The sequence below is a fragment of the Homo sapiens genome, chromosome 2 (genome assembly GCF_000001405.40).
Source record: "Homo sapiens chromosome 2, GRCh38.p14 Primary Assembly".
NCBI classification, from domain to species: Eukaryota; Metazoa; Chordata; class Mammalia; order Primates; family Hominidae; genus Homo; species Homo sapiens.
Window position 1 is genome coordinate 55904426 of NC_000002.12, and position 20565 is coordinate 55924990.

Genomic DNA, 20565 nt, shown 5'->3' on the forward strand with positions numbered 1-20565 from the left:
ATAGCTGTTAAAATATTATTTCTGAGTGTGTCTGTGATGGTGTTTCCAGAATAGACAGCATTTGAATTGACTGAGTAAAGCAGATGGCCCTCACCAAAGCAGGTGGATGTAATCTAGTCCATTGAAAGCCCAAATAGAACAAAGAGTCAGAGGAAGGATTAATTTTCTTTTTCTCTTCTTGAGAGGGGACATCCATCTTCTCCTGCCCTTAAGAAAGGAGCATTGGAGCTACTCCTGGTTCTCAGATTTTTTGGACTCTGGGACTTACACTAGCAGTTCCCATCTCCCACACCCTTTTTAGCCCTTTAGACTTAGACCAAATTACACCACTGGCTTTCCTTGTTTTCCAGCTTGTAGACAGCAGATGATGAGACTTCTTGGCTTCCATAATCACATGAGAAATTCTCACAGTAAATCTCTCTCCCTCTTTTTCTCTGCATGTATCCTATTGGGTCTGTTTTCCTGGAGAACCTTGACTAAATACAGAGGTTCACCTAACTGTGACAGAGAAATTATTTCTTCTCTTCTAAGGGATAGTGGCTTTTTTTTTTTTCTTTTTCTTTTTTTTTTTTTTTTGCTGAGCAACAGCTTTGGCATAACAATAATATATTACCTATTAGAATAATTACAAAACTTAGGATCTCCAACTGCAAAGGCTTGGTATGAATTTGAACCTGCACTGATTCTTCTTTTCCTATCTTCTCAGCCTATCAAGATTTACACTGAAAAATAAACAGGTCTGTTGCTTGCAGTTAGTTTTATCCACTTCTCAGGACTTTTACTCAATTTTTTGAAGCTATGGAGAAAATGAAAAATACCATTCACATTTTTAAATAATTAGTGTAATCTTCTTTATTAAGGTCTTCCTGATTTTCTCTTGTCACTATAAACTTTTCCTTTAATCTGAAACCAGAAACTATGTATTTTACTAAGAAAATTTCATAGTAAGTTCATAATACTTTTGGTAATGTGTAAAGTCTGCCTGTTCCTGACTTTGATACTGTAAACAGATTTTCCAATAATTCTTTTTTGTGTGTGTGTGACAGAGTTTCGCTCTTGTTGCCCAGGCTGGAGTACAATGGTGCAATCTCGGCTCACTGCAACCTCCACCTCCCGGCTTCAAGCGATTCTCCTGTCTCAGCCTCCTGAGTAGCTGGGGACTACAGCCGCATGCCACCACCCCTGGCTAATTTTTGTATTTTTAGTAGAGACAGGGTTTCATCGTGTTGGTCAGGCTGGTCTGGAACTCCCGACCTCAGGTGATCTGTCTGCCTCAGCCTCCCAAAGTGCTGGGATTACAGGTGTGAGCCACCGCGCCCAGCCTGATTTTCCAATAATTCTTTAAAGCTCTATTAGAATCCTAATACTGTTTGTAGCCAAGTTTTTACAATGAAATTAGATAGTATAAGCTCTTTTTCTAACAGACTGACATTCTAATAGTCCATTTGGTGTATTAACCTTCTGTGATAGGTTGGTTTACTGGAAACTAATGCTCTGGCATGCTTACACAATCCATTTTTCTGCTTAAACTGAAAAATCAATGAAAATATTTTTCAGTTTACTTAGAGTTGAGCTCTAATTTACAATAGTTTTGCTATTTAACATTTTTTTGAATGAGCTGTTCACTAATCTTTCCTGTTCTACAGAACTATTATTATCTGCTTAAATTGCACGACAATTAAATTTCCTTCTTCCATTTAGTTTCTTTTTACCATTAGCTTACCCCCCACCCTGACCCACGACAATCACTGAAGGAGGGAGGTCATATGATTGAAGTTCAGAACAAAGCCCTGCATCTTTTTTTTTTTTTTTTTTTTTAGACGGAGTCTCGTTCTGTCACCCAGACTAGAGTGCAGTGTGTGATCTTGGCTCACTGCAACCTCTGCTTCCCAGGTTCAAACAATTCTCCTGCCTCAGCCTCCCAAGTAGCTGGGATTACAGGCATGTGCCATCACGCCCAGCTAATTTTTGTATTTTTAGTAGGGACGGGGTTTCACCATGTTGGCCAGGCTAGTCTCGAACTCCTGACCTCAAGTGATCTGCCTGCCTCGGCCTCCCAAAGTGCTGGGATTACAAGCTTGAGTCACCATGCCCAGCCAAAACCCTTCATCTTTACCAGCTTGTATGGGAGGACTTTTTTTTCTGGCTCCCTCCCTGGATTAAGATTCTTCTGATATTCCAGGACATGAACTGTTTTAACAAAAGGTGCCCACAGCTTTTACTGCAAAGTTTAATTCATAATGAATGACTGGAATTTTCTGCCTTGCTTGTTGAGTGGAGTTCTATTTCAGACTACTTCCTGACTATATAATTTACCAAAGTCTGAAGAATGAAAAAGCTTGGAGATTCAGTTCAGTCCCAGATAAGTCATTTTTGAATCCACCTTAAACGATAGTTCATCAAAAATGTCAATTTTGCCAAAAATTAAGTTGTTCAATATAAAATAGTGGGTCAGGATGAAATCCAGGCAAATCTCTGAGAAAGATTAGTAATGAAATGATCATCTTGCTGCAGAAGTATATGATGACAAAGCCTCAGAGGTTATACCTCAGCACCTTCACTTCTTTTTTGTCAACACTTTCTATTTAATCCATCTAACACAATTCTTTGTTCAGCAAAAAGTGTAGTTAACTGTCCAGGGTGTCCTGTTCTCTTGTGATAGGTAAACACATGTATTCAGAAAGCAGTTTCCAGTGTTAATGTTACAGGAATAATGAGAGGAAACCTCTCTCTGCATTCAGTCATTTCAGAAGCATCATCAACTATGATCAGTTTCATTTTGGTACATGGTACCTTCCTACTGAAAATAATGTGTGCACATGTTTGTACATATGCATGTGTATAGGCATGTACTTGAATAGGTATCTGTATGTGTGCACATGTGTGGGCATAAATAGTTAGAATAAACTAGGCAAGAAAAGGGGTATTTAGCCTACGTAGGCAGGTTTCTAAAGTGTCTTTTAGTTATTTCTCTTGGGATATACTTTTCTTTTTTAGAAGTGGAATCTTTTGATATCACACATTTACAAATTGTAAAAATACGATTCTGAGGATTAAACAGCAAACTCTGAAAAACAGACTTACACTGCCCTTTGTCATTCTGGTATATTAGAAAATATTGGGATATATAAGTTTTCAGAAAATAGTAAAAATGTTAATTTAATGGCATGCTGGTGTGAATGTATGTACAAGAGGAGGGCTTTGCTGCAAAATATTTCACAAGGGAAATCTAACATCATCATTGAATAAAAATTCTTCCCTAACCCGGGTTGTGACAGACTTGGTCTGCAAGGTGGGCAGTGAGTTGGACCCCATGAGTTGTTTCCCACTTTGGATTGTGTTCTGTGGCTTCACTCAAGGGAGTAGGATTGGATTCCTTGCAACACACAAGGCTGTTTAGAGTGAAAACTTATTTCACCACCTTCCCCACAACGATTTAACTACATGCAGTTCCAGCTCCTGTCATGATTCTCATTTTAACTAGGCACACATAAAAGCACATGCAGTTTTTATGGCTGTCTTGGATTCCCTTCCCTACGTCACTCTTATTTCACCTACAGTTCAAGTCTCAGCTAGTTAACAGTTCTCAATGGGCTCTCAGTAAGCTCTGTTCTTTCTTCCTGGGTTCCTGAGAGCTATGACTTTTTCTTCTCACTTATCTAGCTCCCCCGAGCTTCTCTACTTTGGGACAAGATCAGAAAACTCTTCTTTTAAATCACCTGTACACAACTAAGTGACTTTCTTGGATTCTAAAAACAAATTTGAGAAGGATAATTTCTAGCCAGGGAAATGTCCAAGGTAAGATGGACTGCTCAGAGTCCTTCTCCCTTGATCTTATTTTACAGAAGTTCATCAAAAGCCTTGAGTTTCTTCGCAGTATCAGAGAGCTCACATCAATGTTTTCTACCCTTACAGAAAGACAATTACAGCATGATCTCACTTAAATGTACAATCTGAAAAAGTCAAACTCATAGAAGTAGAGGGAAAAATGTGGTTACCAGAGGCTGAGGGTGAGAATGGGGGGAGATGGGGAGACGTTAATCAAAGGGTACAAAGTTTCAGTTAAACAGGAAGATTTTGAAATCTGTTGCATAGCATAGTGACTATAGTTAATAATAATATGGTGTATATTTCAAAACTGCTAAGCAAGTAGATTTTAAATATTCACACTGCAAAAAAACAAGTGAAGTAATGGTTATGTTAATTAGCTTGATTTAATCATCCCATAGTGTATACATATATCAAAACATCACATTGCACCCCATAAATATGTATATTTTTCAATTAAAAATAAAATTATAAAAACAAAAATATTTTTCAGGCTTATGATTATCTGACCTCAAGTATCATAAATATTAACACTTTCCCAACCAAAGTGTATTTTCATTATTCACCATGAGATTTCTGAAAAAGGATGTATTTGATACAGAAATGCATTCCCTGGTTAAATGGCTTATTGGAAAATAAAAAAGAATTCTAGTGTTCCCAATTACTAGTCTTCCTCTAGGAATAACACCAACCTGTTTAGTCACTAATATTTATGGAAAACCTAGTAATCCAGGATATAAAGAATAGGTTTTATGAATCCTTCTTTCAAGTAGCATAAGCTTAAAACGGGGACAAGGTATCTGAGACCTCCATGTTAAAAGGGACAGGACAGTCTCTTTTAATAATTACTGATGGACCACACTAATATTGTATAACATTTATAGTTGGGAAATATACCTTATATACACATGGTACTTGGTAGCTTATTTTCAAGGATGGTTTAAGTCTGAGTTCTCCTATGATTAAAATCTATTCATTTATACAAACAACATATACTAATTGCCTATTCAATAATAAGTAAAACAGAATGCAGTTCTGGAATATGTTTAGACAGAGCTAAATGAATTCATTAGCATTTTGGTGGAGTTACGGAGGATGGAACCAGTCATAGATGTTTGCTCTGCAAAGTGGTTCATCAATTGTTCTTTCTGATTTGGTTTTCTTCCCCACCTTATCTTGCTAGCATTCCAATCAGAAACACACTGTTTCTGGGGACCTCTCCTGGGAAATCATTCTAGGACAGATGGAATGTGGACATGATACAATGCTTCTCACTTGTTCTGTGCAGTTACAGTATGATTATTTCCTCTGATATTTGGATGCTAATTTCCTTGTCAGATTTCCCAATGTCCCCTCATCATTCTCTCCCAAATGCCCCATTCCAGCGAGGAAACAGACTTTTGTCCTTAACCACATTTCTGAGAACACGTTTTCTTTTTCTGTCCAAATATGTATTTTAGTTAATTGTGGTGCTACCTGTGTCACATACTAGTTTTACATCTACTTTTGGCAATTCATTATGTACTTCCAGTGATGTCTCATGTTACTTTATTGAACTGTTGTTTGTTTCTTTTATTATTTGATAACTCATGGGACAATTATTACAAATTCCCTAAAGACTATGAGCATTCCTTCCTTCTACCTTGACTCTATTAAGCTACAGCAGAAAGTGGTTCTCAAATTTGACTGAATTCACTGAACTCTAATGGAATGGTTTTATGTTCCATTTGATCAATTTCACTTGCAATACTGCCTAGTTACCCTGGATGGGATAGATGTACAATCATTTGAAAGGTAGTTGAACTTTTAGAATTTGACTTAGTGCAAATCTCAAGCTTTTTAGTCTATTTAGTACACATTTATATACATTGATTAGCTGTTTCTTCTTTTAATCTGTAGTTATGCTAACAGCTCAGCATTCAGCCTTCCTTTCATGTCATTTATTCACTTCATTTTTATTAAATGTTTACAAATCATTTCAGTTTAAACTACAAACCTGCAATTCTTTTTAAATTTTTGCAATGACAGCATTTTCTTTTGCCAATATTTGAAATGCAGTTTTCTTGATCAGTTTTATTTTGAGTGTGCGATTTGCAATTACCTCCTGGAAAAAGCAACATGCTAATGAATTTCAGATGCGGTGTGAATTACTTATTTGTACATTCATGTAAAATCAAACACATTGGGAAAATTTTTGTTTACTCTTTGGTTTCAAAGAATAAAATTGTGCCAGCAATTCAACACGTGCAAAGGCAATCCTTACAAAAGGGGCAACTTGTTGATTTCAGGGAATATAGCTTGAGACTTCCTGCTGGATAAATAAATAATGAGCCAGTACCAGTGCACTTTCCTGAAGTTACCCGGGCTTGCAATTCTACTCTAATCTCCTTCTTGCTTCAATGGGGAGGAGGAAATTCATTCCACAGATTAAGTGTTAACTAGTCTTAAAAAGAATCTCCTCGTCTTTGATGGGAAGTAAATTTCTTATAAAGTTTAAATTGAAAGAAGATGCTTATGTGAATATTCTTCAAATATCTGATATTTACAGAGTCTAAATGGAAAGAGATGGTTAGCTGTGCATCTGATATTGAAAGGATCTCATATCACTTTGGTGACTGAAGGATACTTTACAGTCAAAGTCAGAGTCAATCTCCTTCTCTTTTGTGGTTCTACACAAACCGAACCGCTACAGCATTGCCTCATCTCACAAGTTTGTGCCATGAACTTAAGGAGGAGCCCTATAGAAGATATAGGTATCACTTAGCATCAGTCATTGCCATAGCCAGAATAAAAATTAGAGTCTCACCTACTGACAATTTAAGAATAGTTATATGATTGCATATTTGTAGGTTTCATAGAGATGTGTATCCTGTTTTCTTGTTAATATGTCCTTTTTTCCTTTAGATTGCATACATCATGTCCTTGGTTCAGGGATACAGTCTTAATCAGGACTCATGGCCACCCATGTTTAGGAATCGGAGTATTGGTGATGACAGTAAGAAGAGTGAGAAAAGTAAAATAGAAATACTAACTTACCCTAGAGGCAGAATGTATATTTTTGATGTTTTCTTTTCACTGCTTCCCATATCCCATGTGAAGTATTCTGACCCTGCCCTCTGATTTATATAGCAGAAGTTAAGATTAAGTTAAGGCATTGGTTCTCAGACTTGAGTAGGCGTCCATATTATGGGATTGTTAAAACAATATATAGTTATATGTTATATAACTATATGTAGTTATATTGTTATAACAATATATTTAATTGTCTTATTATAACAATATATGTTATATAATATATTGTTAAAACAGTATAATCCCAGAACCAGATTGCTGGTGCTGGCCCCAGAGTTTCTGATTCAGTCAGTCTGGGGTGGGACCTGGGAAATTTGCATTTCTAATAAGTTACCTGATGATGCTTGATGCATCTGGTCTAGGGACTACACTTTGAGACCCACTGAATTAGGGAGGTGTGTAGCACAGTCCTGCTGCAGGAGAGTGATCATACTGACCTCTTCTATCCTTCCACCTCTAACGGTTGTCATTCAATTTTTATGAAGCAATTTTAAGAACACTTTCTGACTGTGTATGAATCAGATACCTATAAATACTGCTCACAAATGTGTATTGAAAATGACATAAATTGACTAGAAATTTAATGGCTGCAGCATATTGAAAAGTAAATTATGAAACAATGCTAGATTTTTTTTAGGAGTAAATCAATTACTTCCATACACTGCATCGGCTTATTTGAAAAATAATTTTCTCCCCTGTAAACTCAACTCTTATCCATTTATATAACTTAAGAGAATTTTCAGGTACTTGAGATAATTAACAACTAAAAACAATGAAGAACTGTAAGGAGGCTAAATGCCCATTTTTCTTACTGCTTAAAGTACTTTTTTTTAAGGTTAACATCATAATTTACTCAATTATAGTCTTCCTTTTGCAAAATATCTATTTTCTGAGATCACAGGTCTTCACTGGGCTGTATAATTATATGGAAGAAAAATTAGGCATTTCCTCACAAAACTAACCCATGCAGCCAGCGACCCTAATGACATTAATGAGAATCAACAAAAGGGCAGTGTTTGAAAGCTGTTTGGTAATGACAATGCCAGGTATCTAAGCCACTTGGTTACACTATGATTTTCTAATTCTCTTCTGGATATAAGATCACTTAAGTTTAAAATGAAAGAAGTCAAAGAAAGATATCCCTAGCATCTGAGAAGCTGTATATGTTACTTCAAGTTCCTCTTTGCAAAGGTAGATGTACAGATAATAACTTCTTCCTTTTTCAAAAGAGTAGTTTAGTTACCCTTATGTTTATAAAGAAATATGTAGAATATAAATGGATGATGCCTAAGACTATAGAGGTTTTTAAATTTGAACCCTATGTACACTGTAATTTGTTCCTTTAGACTTTACAGGAGGCAAATATGTATTTTTTAGTGTTCTAATCACTCCTGTATCACATGTAATAATGACAAAATAAAATGATTGAAAATATAGCTGAAAGTTGGAAAAAATAAAAATTTTAGCAAACTGAAAAATTTATAGGTGAAACATAGTATTTAATTTGGCTGTGTGGTGAAATTTTTTCTAGGTGGGAATGTGAAAAGATTGCTAACTTTCCCATGGTATGACACATATGACACATAACTAAGTGTGCAGGTTCTAATGTCCAGGCATCCTACACATAAAACATCTAAAACAATGTAGAAACTTGCTCATTGGCACACTGGCAAATGGGATCCCGACAACTGCAAAGAAAGACTCTGTCCAACTACTTAAAAATCAATGCAGTTTGTCTTTTGAAAGTACAAAACAAATTGTAAAAATAGTCTCACTGGACAAGCAATGCCTCAACCTGAAAAAATGGCTCTAACGTTAGGACTTCTTCACTCTTGTCTGTGAGGTGCAGGCGATTTGGCTGTGTGGGTATGCTAGGGGCTCAACCATCCTATTTGCCTGGGACAAAGGCATTTCCAGGAACATGGAGCTTTTGGTTTTGAAACTGGACAGTCCTGGTAGACAGAGATGGTGGAAACCCTAGGGTATGTTTTTTTCATATTTCTCAATGATACTTTATACAACATAAGCCAGGTACTGTACTCGATTTGGTTTTACAATCAACTTTATTGGACATTCGTACTGAGTTCATTTCTCGATGGCACAGTTTCTTTACCAAGTTAGTAGTCATGCCTGTAAGTCCTGACAGGGTTTATTAGTGGCTTAATTACCAGGTATGCAAAATGCCATGTGTTTTAATTTTTTTAAAGTTCAATTAAACAAACAAGTTTCTTCAATTAGGGCAATCAATGCTTTCTCTTTCTTGTCAGTTCCCAAATGACTTTTTTTTTTTAATACAGGAATGGAAGTCTTAGAAAGTTATATATGATTTTAAAAAATCCTTTCTCAACTTCATCTAGTGATTTCTAACTCCATCTCCTTTAGAAAGATTATATAGAGACTATTGCCAGGTACAGTGGCTCAGGCCTGTAACACCAGCACTTTGGGAGGCTGAGGTGGGCACATCATCTGAGGTCAGGAGCTCGAGACCAGCCTGGCCAACATGGTGAAACCCCATCTCTACTAAAAATACAAAAATTAGCAGGGTGTGGTGGTGCACGCCTGTAGTCACAGCTACTCGGGAGGCTGAGGCACAAGAATTGCTTAAACCCAGAAGGTGGAAGTTGCAGTGAGCCAAGATAGCACCTCTGCACTCCAGCCTGGGTGACAGCGTGAGACTCTGTCTCAAAAAAAAAGGAGAAAGAGACTATGCAATAAAGGTGTAGAAAACTAAAGTGAGCCATCAACAGATTATAATATATTCCCCATTCATTCAACTTCTTTTTGGTGTAGATGAGTATCTGTTGTCTTTGAGGCAGATGATATCTAATGGAAACAATTAATTTCGAAAACTCTATCTATACATGGCCCCAGGTATGTAACACTGAAATGATCTTCATTTTATAGATGCCAAGAATAATGTCAGTCATGGGAAACTCCCAGCGTTACTGGCTCCCACAGCATGATCCTCATTTAGCAAAAAATTACCTGAAAAAAACCTGCTCACTGTGACCTGATCTTTGAATGTTATGTTGTATTTCAAACTCCTTGTTTTTGTACAAAACTGAAAACACCCCCAAAAATACATGAAGGGGAATAAACATATCATGTTTTCATTAAACAGTTAAATGGACAGCTATTTAAAGGATATATTTATAAAATAGTGTACATTTAAAATATCTAGTGGTATTATTTAAATTATTTAGAAGCCATCTGTGACTGGTATAGTGCATTCAAAGGCACAATTGATTTGAAGACTGAAACACAGTACAGATTTCAGTTCTTACATTTAAAATGTCCTGAGTTTTAGGTTATATAATGATAAACTATACCTGCTAAAAAATATACATAGAAAAAAGAAATAATTTTTATGCAAATAAGACTCATCTGTAAGATTCATTTATTCTATCCAGTAGACCATAGGAAATGTGTCTGGATTACTGGGCATAAATATGCAACATTTAAAAGGGAGTGGAGATCTTTATTAAAACAGAAGACTCTTCAAACTCCATGATGATGTCAATAATATAGGTCCTTAGAGCACATTATTGTTCTAAACAGAGGTCCCCATACTTCCACATTGGTTATAAAATATTATTTTGTGCTGCTGGCCTGGAATGAGAATGTCATACATCTGCAGGCAATTAGAAGAAGCTGGACTGCATGTTTGATTAGCTCAATAAGAAATGGGCACAAGTGTGACTCGACTTATGTTAGTCAAATTCCCTAGACAGATTATCCTGTTGTTATCATATGAAATAACCCCCTTTTATCAACAATTAAGTAAATCCACATTTATGGGCACTTTGCAAAATTGTGAGGTGGGAAGAAATCCAACTTAAGCCCTAAGCCTTCCAAAAAACTTTTAACCCTGCTTTCAATGGTATAGACACCAATCCCAAATTTTAGAAACTGGCTGAATTACACAGATCAATTTGGGTTGGAAATAACCTGTGTGCACACAGTCAACAGGTATGTATTTAGCATATTCCATAAGCAAGGCACTTAATAGTCTGCTTATAACTAAAAAAAATTCCCAAAGAAGAAAGAACTATAAATGTTTTACTATGTGAAACGTAACTTACTTTGTTAGGTAGTCTAAATATTTTCTAGAAAAGTTAAATAGGATTTTATTTTCATTAATCACAGTACAGTTTCTACCGTAACCAATACATGTTGTAAGTCTTGAATATATTTTATTCTAGGACCTCTTCATTTAGTTCTGGGCATTGTTCTTGAATTCAACCATAAATGTCAATGACGGTCTACAAACTACTTTGGGAAATGACTCATTCATTTATCTGGTTTTTTTTTCTCCCAAGTACCATTAAAGTACACATCTAAAGTATTCAAAATAATTCAGTATATAAAAGTTGATACTTAAGAATTTTTCAGCAAAATTTTTTGATTTTGGGAAAAATACTACCAAACTTTCCAGTCTAGTTATATAACTAAATAACACAATTAAAAGTTGGTCTATCTTAAATAAACTCAAGATTTTTTTTATCAGTATTAACCCAAATACATGTATAAGAATAACCTCATCATTTTATCTCCTTGACATAATCCTTAAATTCAATATCAGAATATCAAGCAGATGCTGAAGCATTCATCATCAATACTGGAATTCTGACTCATGACAGTAACACGAAACAGATGCTAATACGATGCACCCTCTGAAAAGTGACACCATCACAACATGGGTTAGGTCTTGATGTGGGGTACTTAAAGCTTACAAACAAAATATGAAATAAATAAGAGTCAGAGCATGACAAGTTTCCTTCATTTTTTTTTTTTTTTTTTTTGAGACAGAGTCTCACTCTGTTGCCCAGGCTGGAGTGCAGTAGCATGATCTCGGCTCACTGCAACCTTCACCTCCCAGGTTCAAGCAATTCTCCTGCTTCAGCCTCTCTAGTATTTGAGACTACAGGCATGTGCCACCATTCATAGAGAATTTTTGTATTTTTAGTAGAGATGGGGTTTCGCCATGTTGGCCAGGCTGGTCTTGAACTCCCGACCTCAGGTGATCCACCCGCCTCATCTTCCCAAAGTGCTGGGATTACAGGCGTGAGCCACCGTGCCCAGCCCCTTGCTTCATTTTTAAGCCATTTAAACTCGAGTATCTTTTACACAGAAGATAAAACTAAACACGGGTGAATAAGGGGCAGCATCCCAGGGCACAAGAAAATGCATCTTTCATTTAATGTAGCAGCTCAGTGGTCTCTATTGAAACCCTTGGTGTTAAGGGAGGAAGGTGCTCTCTTCCTTACACATGACCAGTTAGAAAGTAAGAACTCCTGGACCCTTTCCATTGGCCCACGTGTGCCATACACGTATGTGGTGGTGACATGGAGTTCTGCACTATGGGATCTACCTAATCAGCCTCTGGCAGGGAGAAAGGAGTCTGGAGGCTCCTATGGCCCCATTTCAGTAACACAGTCTCCACACCAGGCTGCTCTGAAATGGTTTGCCAAGAAGAAAGGGAAACAATCTCATAGCACAGTTCAGTTAGCTAATATCCTACATGTCTTCAAAGCCCCAGATTCTTATCACTTTGCTAATACGAGCCTACAGCTGTTTCTAGAATACACAGTGATGTGTATGCTCTGTGAAAATAAACAGAAAACCCTAGGCAGATGATGCCATGGTGCAAGTGATATAAGTGAAACGTCGTCAAATGAGAGCTTAAAAGAGATATAAACGTGAGTGGGGGAGAATCCCTCCAAGGTAATGAGAAGCAGGAGCCCCATTTCTTTACTCCTGAATGAGGAAAATAAGTCTGTGGCAAGTTCGATGAAAAGAAACTTGAGAAACCAAAGGGGTACATCTGTAGAGTAGCTTGACAGCATAATTTCAAATTCCCAGTGAATAACCTGATGGTGACTTTTGCCAGCTGTGACTTTGGCACCCGCCTTCCTGGGTTGGAAGGTCAGCTCTGCACTTAGCACCTGTGTGACCTCTGGTTCTCAAACTTGGCCGCACATGAGGAACTGAAAAAAAAGCCGATGCCTGGAACCCACCTCAGAGACTGTGATTTAACTGGGCTGGGGTGTAGCTTCGCCATCGAGAAGTTTTAAAGGTTCCCAAGTGACTCTAAATATGGGCAGCTAGGGTTGGGAACCACTGATGAACTTTCTAAGCCACAGTTTCCCATTTGTAAAGCAATGATGACAACTACAGCAACTACCCTTTAGGAATATTGTGATGATTAAATATAATGCAGACAAAGCACTTAGCATGATGTCTGGCACGCGAGAAGTCCTTAATAAATTATCATCATCCTCACCACGAGGTGCACTTGGGCAAAAGCTTTCAATGGTTAGGAAAATAAGTTATTCCTACCTTGGCACACGTTGTGTTCACTTTGCTCGTAGCCTGCTGCACACTGGATACGGTGGGAAGGGTTGGAGGGAATGCGCTGAGGGTCAGCTGGGTTCCGCCGGATGACAAAGTTATTTCGGCCAGTCTGCATTTCAGGGCCTGCGACTGCAGCAGCACTGGCCACAAAACCACCCCCGGGCAACACTCCACTGGTTGCCATGCTGCTGGCAGCTACAACCCCGGTGGTTGCCCCTGAGGTTCCTTCTGCTGGTTGTGTTTCCTGCTGAGGCTGTTCATTATTGACAATAATCTGGGCTGTTTTCGGAAGGCAGAGGTATCCTCCATAGTGGTTGACACACTTCATTCCACCTTTACAAGCGTCTGGGACAATGTCACATTCATCAATATCTGTGGTCAGTAATAAAATAAGTCAGGAATCTTCTAAGAGGGAAAAATCAAACATGTAAATATAATGCTCATGCCTTTTTGGTATAACACAGACAGGACAGGAAGAGTGACACAAGAGATGGAGACAGAAGGCAATGATCACATGGAAGTCTTTGAAGCTGGCTCACCTTTGCATTGCTGTCTCACAGGATCCCACTCATATCCGTCAGTGCATTGCTGTGAAGAAAACATCAAAGGTGGGGCCAGGAGACAGTTAATTGGTGTGTCCATTCCCTAAGAAATCACTCTAAAAGCTTCATTCTTATGGCAACAATCCTTGTGCTAAAGTCCTAGATATATGATGAGATGGGTGGTTTAACATTCTATCGCTTTTTTTTCAAAAGACAAGTCTGTGCATTGGACAGCTTCGGGGGTCCATTCTCAACCATCAGCTGCCTAAACTCTTCTGTTCTTTTTGGTACAGTTGCCCAGTACCATCTTCTTTTCTGTTTTGAGACTAATCTTCTCCAACTTCTCTGACTGCTCTTTATTAATTTGCCTTTTTTCCCACATTGGAAATGTTAAAAAAAAAAAAGACCAAATTCTCTCTCTTTCCTCGCCCTCTCCCCCGCCCCCACCCCCAACCAGCCCTGGACTCTTCTCTCTCTCTCTAAATCCTCTTACAGCATTCAAGCACCTCCATCTCACACCCTGACCTGCTCCCTAGCTTCAGCTCCTAAGGAACAGAGGTGTTCCTCCTAGCAGTTCCCAGCTTCAATCTCCTCTCTAGTTCACCCACTGAACAAACAGCCTATGGATCACCTTCTGAAACCAGGCAGTTTTAGGGCCTGGGGATGCAAAGATGATGCAGACTTTGTCCCTGTCCTCAAGCAGCTCAAAGACCAGAAGAGGAGACAGATAGGTAGACAAGTTGCAGCAAGATGGCAGGTGCCTTCTACAAGTGTATGCAGGAAGGAGTAATGGACTCTGCCCGGGGGCATGGGTGAGCATGGCAGGGCAGAAGGGAAGACTTGACAGAGGAGGTGACAGTAAATCAGGCTTTACAGGATGAGCAGGATTTTTCCAGGTGAATGTGGGAATTCTAGGAAGAGAGGCTATTGTGACAAAGGCATAAAATTTTTGAAAAGGGAAGGAGCTGCAAGGAGTTCTGGGTAGGTGGAGGATGAGGTTACAGAGGTAGGCAGGGCCAAAACAAGAAAGCCTTTCTTTAGGAATGGAAGCCTGAATTCTACCCTGAAGGTCAGTGAATCTCAAGCTTTATTGTGTCTAAGGATCATTCAGGGTTCTTGTTAAAATGAAGATTCCTGGGCCCACCCAAAGGATTTGATTCTGTAGGTCTGGGTAGGGGGCCTGGAATCTAAATTCTTAGCAAGTATCCCAGGCGATTCCCATACAGGTTGTCTAGGAACTACTTCTTGAGAAATGTTGCTACAGGCGATAAGAGGCCTCTGAAGAATTTTTAAGCTCAGGAAACAATCTGATCAGACGCTCATTTGAGAAAGTCACTGTAAGGAAGAAGCCCAAGGAAGGATTGAGCAAAAGTGGAGTAAACAAACAAATAAACTTAAATTCTTTTAATATAACTGAGAGCTGCTTATGTACACAATGGATGCTTGACAAGGAAATAGCTGAATGGAAGCCCAGAGATCCATTTAGATATTTTACTGATGTCTGAAACTTACTGGAGCGAGAACTAAATTCACTTTGTCTCTCAGACTAATTTTTTTCTTGTTTCCCAAACAGTGTTAAAGGTACCACTACCTTTTTCGAAACCCAGGATTCCAACTTTAACATCAGTGCTGAATGCTCCACTTATTTTCCTTCCATCTCTGCTGACTTTGTGTCCATTTCTACCATGTCTACTAAGAAAGGCTTTTGCTGGCCCATGAGTAGGCAAGGCCCCGCATCTCTACATGCTGCATACAGACCCCATGATCTTTCTTGTGCTCTTGGTTATGTTGCTCCTCTCTCTGAGACCTCACAGTGACCTGCAGATCTCTCATCATCACCATCTCTGGGTTCTTCCCACTACCCAGTTCCAGCTGATCTGACCTTATCACCACCTGGATTGGTCTCAGGTGCTTTCAGCTCTAGCTTTTGATTATGCCACTCTCTGACTCAGGTGCCTCTTCAGCCTTTCTAGATCAATCCAACCAAGGTCATCACTTCCTTCAAGAACCAGCACAGAGTTCTGTCTCCTCTAATATGCTGGCACCAACATTAATCACCTCCTTGCTTTTCTATTTCCTTGGCAATTTGTATAATCTGTATAATAGTATCATTTGTCCTTGCTTAGGAACTTTGTAGTTTTCAACACTGTCTTCCCAGGCTAAATTCTCCAAGAGGAGACTGAATTTTCTTAGTAAACAAACAAATTCTTTTAATAGTGATGAGAATTGCTTATGCAGATAGTTGTTGAGTAAACAGCTGAATGGACACCATCTTTAATATGGAAGAGGACTATGAGGCTATTATGTGGATACGAGCCCATTCTTCTGAAAAGTATCTTTCAAGCCAGGCAAAAATGGCAGTTCACTTGAATAATTTGTATGGTAAATAGAGAAGACTTGCAATTTGTTTTAGGTATTTACTTCTAGACATTTAATGTCAGTGTACTATTAAGTAAGCCTAGACTGAGTTTAGCTTCACCACTTGGCTATGTAGCCCTAAGCAAGTTAGACACTCTCTCTGATCTTCAGTTCTACCATTAGTGGAAGGAAGATGATGCCACTTACCTTACACATTGCCGCAAGGATCAAAGGAGATCGTGTCTCCACAGCGGGATACTCAGAAATAGTTATTATCTTGTCCTTTAACCATGAATTATTAGGCATACAAAATTTAAAGGAGAATAGGCCCAATCTTAGCACAAAAGGGTAACATATCTGGAAAATTTGTTACAATAATAATGAACCCTAGTTAGTGGTCTTAAAACTATCATGTTTAAGCCACAGGGAACCTTCTCTGGTAAAAATGAGGAAGATTTAGGTGATTAGCAAAGGGAAGGGCATAGAAGATAAGCAACTGGAAAAGAAGTAAAATCTTTTATGAGATGATTATAAAAGTGGGTAGTGAATTTAATTTTAGCTCCCTGAGAAGGCAGTAAGTTTAGTCTGAATAACAAAACATTTTCATTTTAAGATAAACAGCACATGCCTTCATTTTTCTTGCTTAATTTATCTTCAGCAGAGGAAGCAACTGCATTTAACATGAAGTTAACAAAATATTTGTATTAAGCTATTTTATTTATAGTGGATCTGAACAACAGAAAGGAACATTTGCCAGATGAATACTAACATTCTAGGGATAATGTGGTACCAAAAAGTGAGATAATGTTTATTATCAGTAATTGACATTAGTTCATTTTTAAGAGTTTTCTTTTCAAAAATTTTTCACATTCTTTCGAGTAGGATTACTTAATTTTAAACTGGGAGCAGTAGAAAAATGTGCTTTTCATATTCCAATCCAGGACAAATGTCATTTGCCTAACACTGATTAAAGACAAGAAAACACAGAACAGAGGTGCAAACAAACTCACCAGAAGTGAAGTCAGTACTGTCCTTCTCTGTTCTCACCACAACTATTTGTAGCAGTGGGAGGGGTCAGGTGATCTTTTTAATATTTTATTAAACATTGGTTACACCTATGCAACTAACTAATCAAATATTACTTGGAAATATCAGAGACGCTAATTAGAAAATGCAAAACGGAGTTGCACACATTACGTTTTAAAACCACTTTAGCCAATATGCATCCTGGTAACACATAAACTGTTGTCTGCCTTTATTTATTAGAATTATCAAGTTATACAAAAAGAATGAATATATAGCCTTTATAAATTCAATAAAGGCCACTTACTTGAGAATGCATGTCATGTACACAAAGAAGGCCATGTGTCTTTATGGTGTTTAACGTTCTTACTTGACTTGAGTCTTATTCTGCACGTATTGGTTTTATCTGCATGTGGTAGGAGTCCAGGTTTTCCAGTTCCTTACACCCATTAATTTGTTGAATGTTTTGGAAACATGTAACTTTCTTTGGTTTTAGTTTTTGAACGGATCCCATTTTTAGCCCTGCACAAATGATTACATGTTGGTTCCTATCTTAGGTGGTGAGCCCAATGAACTTTTGAAAGGATCAAGGGGGCAATTTACAACGAATCTTAGATATGAAGCATGAATGAAGTGTTGTTTAATTTATCACCCTCAGCAGAGTATAGCCCAAATACACTGGCAGGGGTGTGTAAAGTCTTTTTTTGTCACAGAATCCCGCTGAACCGTACTTATTTCAAATTCCATCACCCCTTACCGTGTACGTGATGGTTTCTTCGGTGTCCTGTGACTTGACCAGCGCCAGAGTCAGCATAGTTAGGAAAAGGGCTTTCAACATTGTGAATCTCAAAGAAAATACAGGACAAACTAATGTTTAGTATCTGCTGCGGGGAAAGTAACAAAACTTTAGCAGTGAGCACAAGCGAGGAAAGGAGGGTGGGAGAGGCTGAGGCTCCACCATACTCAACTTCCAATCTGCTTTCTCATCTCCCCTCCCCCTCCTGAACCTTCTCGGTAGCCAACGAACGAGGCAGCAAAGACGTAAAAACTGCTGTAGAATTGCATTTCACGTTACTCCATCCTGCTACGCTGTTTACATACAAAAGACATTCAGCGTGCATTTTATACTGCACCTACAAAGCAGGCTGCAGAAAGAGGGGGTCGAAAGGAAAAAACAGTAATCCATTTCAAAGGGGACGGTGCATTTCCTGCCCCCCAGTCCCACACCCCGGGGGATGGAGGTGGGGCTGCAAAACTCTGTTCTCTAGAACGTTAAGGCTTTCCCAGTATACTCACCTTGAGCTAGCAGAGTTCCTTGCACAGCACAGCAAAAATACCTGTGAGCCAATATGAATTGCCTTGGCCTCAAGCTTTTTATTTTTTAAACAAAATAACAAAACAAAACTCGGAGAGCAATCTTCCAGTTCTAGTAGAATACTAGACCTTCTCACATGTCTCAGAGCTTCTCACATCCCCCAGCACAAACTCTCAAAGTGGCATTTCCACGCCTTTCTCTGCGCACAGCTTTGTTTAAAAGTCCCAGGTTGTGTGGAGGGGCAGCCCAAAGCGACTGATTCTCTTTTGTCTTATCAGTCTGGGTCCCCGACACGCTACCTTCGGTTTCAGGCTGCCTAGGACCGGAACCAGGGATCGCACCGCAGCCCAAGGTACCAGTTTCGGGCGGGCGGCCTGGCCCGGCAGGGAGATGAGGTCCCCTTTCTTAACAGCAAGCTAACGCGGCGGTCCCCTGGAGCTGCTCAGCGTCCCAGCTTCTAACCAGCTCCTATGGAATCCAGGTGCGGCTTAAATCTCGCACACTGGTCCCCTAAACTTTCAAAACCACGTTTATGGGCAAAGCCCTGCCGGCTGGTTGTCGGCGCGCACACACATGCCCATCCCAACAGATGTCACCCGAGTACTCGCACTTGCTGACAGATCGCATTCCGAGGCTGCACACCTCCACCTCCCTCTCTGCCCGAGACACCCTGCACAGTCCAGGGCAGTTCTCGGGTACTCAACACCCCTCAGCTCACCCCACCTCACTCTCCCGCGCGCGGCCCAGTGAGTACTGGGCTCGCTCGGGGCGACCCCCCGTTGGGGGCTCCTACCTGTGCGGCCGCGCTGCGCTCCGGGCCCGGGCAGCGAGGGGAGTGCGCAGGGGAGGGCAGCCCCGTGGGTCTGATCTGGCGAAGTCCGGCAGCGGCCGCGGCGGCAGGAGGAGGAGGAGAAAGGGAGGGAAAGGGGGAGGGCGAAGGGGGGCGGAGGAGAGAGCTGAGGGAGGCGCGAGCGCTGAGCCCAGCGTTGCGAGCCCGGCGGTAGAGCGCGCAGCGCAGCGAGGTCCGCGCCCCCTGCTCCAGGGGCCCTCTTTGCCGCCCCCGCTTGCCCTCCCTTGCCAGCTCCTCGTTTCCCAGACTCGCGGGGACCCCACGCCAGAGAGGACACGTTGACATGTGATGTCCTGGATGCGCTTCAGCCTTGGGGATGCTCCCACTCTCTAGTGCGTTTTCTTCTTCTCTGAGGAGGGGAACACAGCATCTCCCTCAGAGACCAGAGGGTTCTAGAAACTGCTGTTACTTTTTTTCCCAATAAGTGAATGCTAGGAGAGTAAATTAACCCCCATTCATAGAACTGTTTCCTTTACCTTTTCTTTCGGATTTTTTTTTTTTTTTGAGGAGGTGTCTGCTTCCACAAATGGAGAAAAATGAGAATTCATCCATTCAACAAATATTTGCCACCTACTGTGTGCTTAGTGTTGGGAATAGGCCAAATAGAACTTGCACTAACAAAATTGTGAGGTGGGGTTTGTTTTATGGTCTCTCAAACCTCCCTTTATGATAACAAGTGTTGGCAAGAATGGAGAAAAGGGAATGCTTGTATGCTGTTGGTGGAATGTAAATTAGTACAAACATGATGGAAAATTGTATGGAGGTTTCTCAAAAAACTGAAAGTAGAATTATCATATGATCCAGCAATCTCATTTCTGGGTATTTACTGGGAAGATTTGAAATCAGTGTGTTGAAGAGACGTCTGTACTTTCATGTTTATTGCAGCACTATTCACAATTGCCAAGATATGGAATCAACCTAAGTGTCCATCAAGGGATAAATGGATAAAGAAAATGTGGCATATATGTGTGTGTGTATACAAATATAATATATATTATATATATAAACACATATATATATAAAATATGTACACACATATATTTTAGATATATATGCGTTTTTAAGGCTAAATAGTATTCCATTGTGTGTGTGTGTGTGCGCGCGTGCATGTGTATATGAGCCCATTCTTCTGAAAAGTATCTTTCAAGCCAGGCAAAAATGGCAGTTCACTTGAATAATTTGTATGGTAAATAGAGAAGACTTACAGTTTGTTTTAGATATTT

The 20565-nt window shown here is 39.5% G+C and overlaps 1 protein-coding gene across 4 annotated transcripts in view, besides 1 other annotated feature; it reads right to left on the bottom strand.

The window, feature by feature from the left end:
* Positions 1–19357, bottom strand: part of EFEMP1 (EGF containing fibulin extracellular matrix protein 1) — a 57816-nt gene extending 38459 nt beyond the window's left edge. For 2 of the 4 annotated variants that reach the window (XM_005264205.5, NM_001039348.3), the window contains exons 1-5: positions 19286–19357; positions 18474–18514; positions 17935–18022; positions 13794–13842; positions 13240–13626 (exon numbers count right to left, since the gene is read on the bottom strand). In XM_005264205.5, the coding sequence (XP_005264262.2) occupies positions 13240–13626; positions 13794–13842; positions 17935–18015 (517 nt within the window). In that variant the 5' untranslated portion in view covers positions 18016–18022; positions 18474–18514; positions 19286–19357. The remainder of the gene's footprint in view (positions 1–13239; positions 13627–13793; positions 13843–17934; positions 18023–18473; positions 18515–19285) is intronic. The other 2 variants (XM_017003586.3, NM_001039349.3) reach the window with 1 other exon arrangement.
* Positions 18917–19416: an enhancer, noted in NCBI's record as "H3K4me1 hESC enhancer chr2:56150477-56150976 (GRCh37/hg19 assembly coordinates)". NCBI's record gives its function as "activates a minimal SCP1, AML or CMV promoter by ChIP-STARR-seq in naive H9 embryonic stem cells {active_cell/tissue: H9 hESC(naive)}" and the evidence as "EXISTENCE:reporter gene assay evidence [ECO:0000049][PMID:30033119]".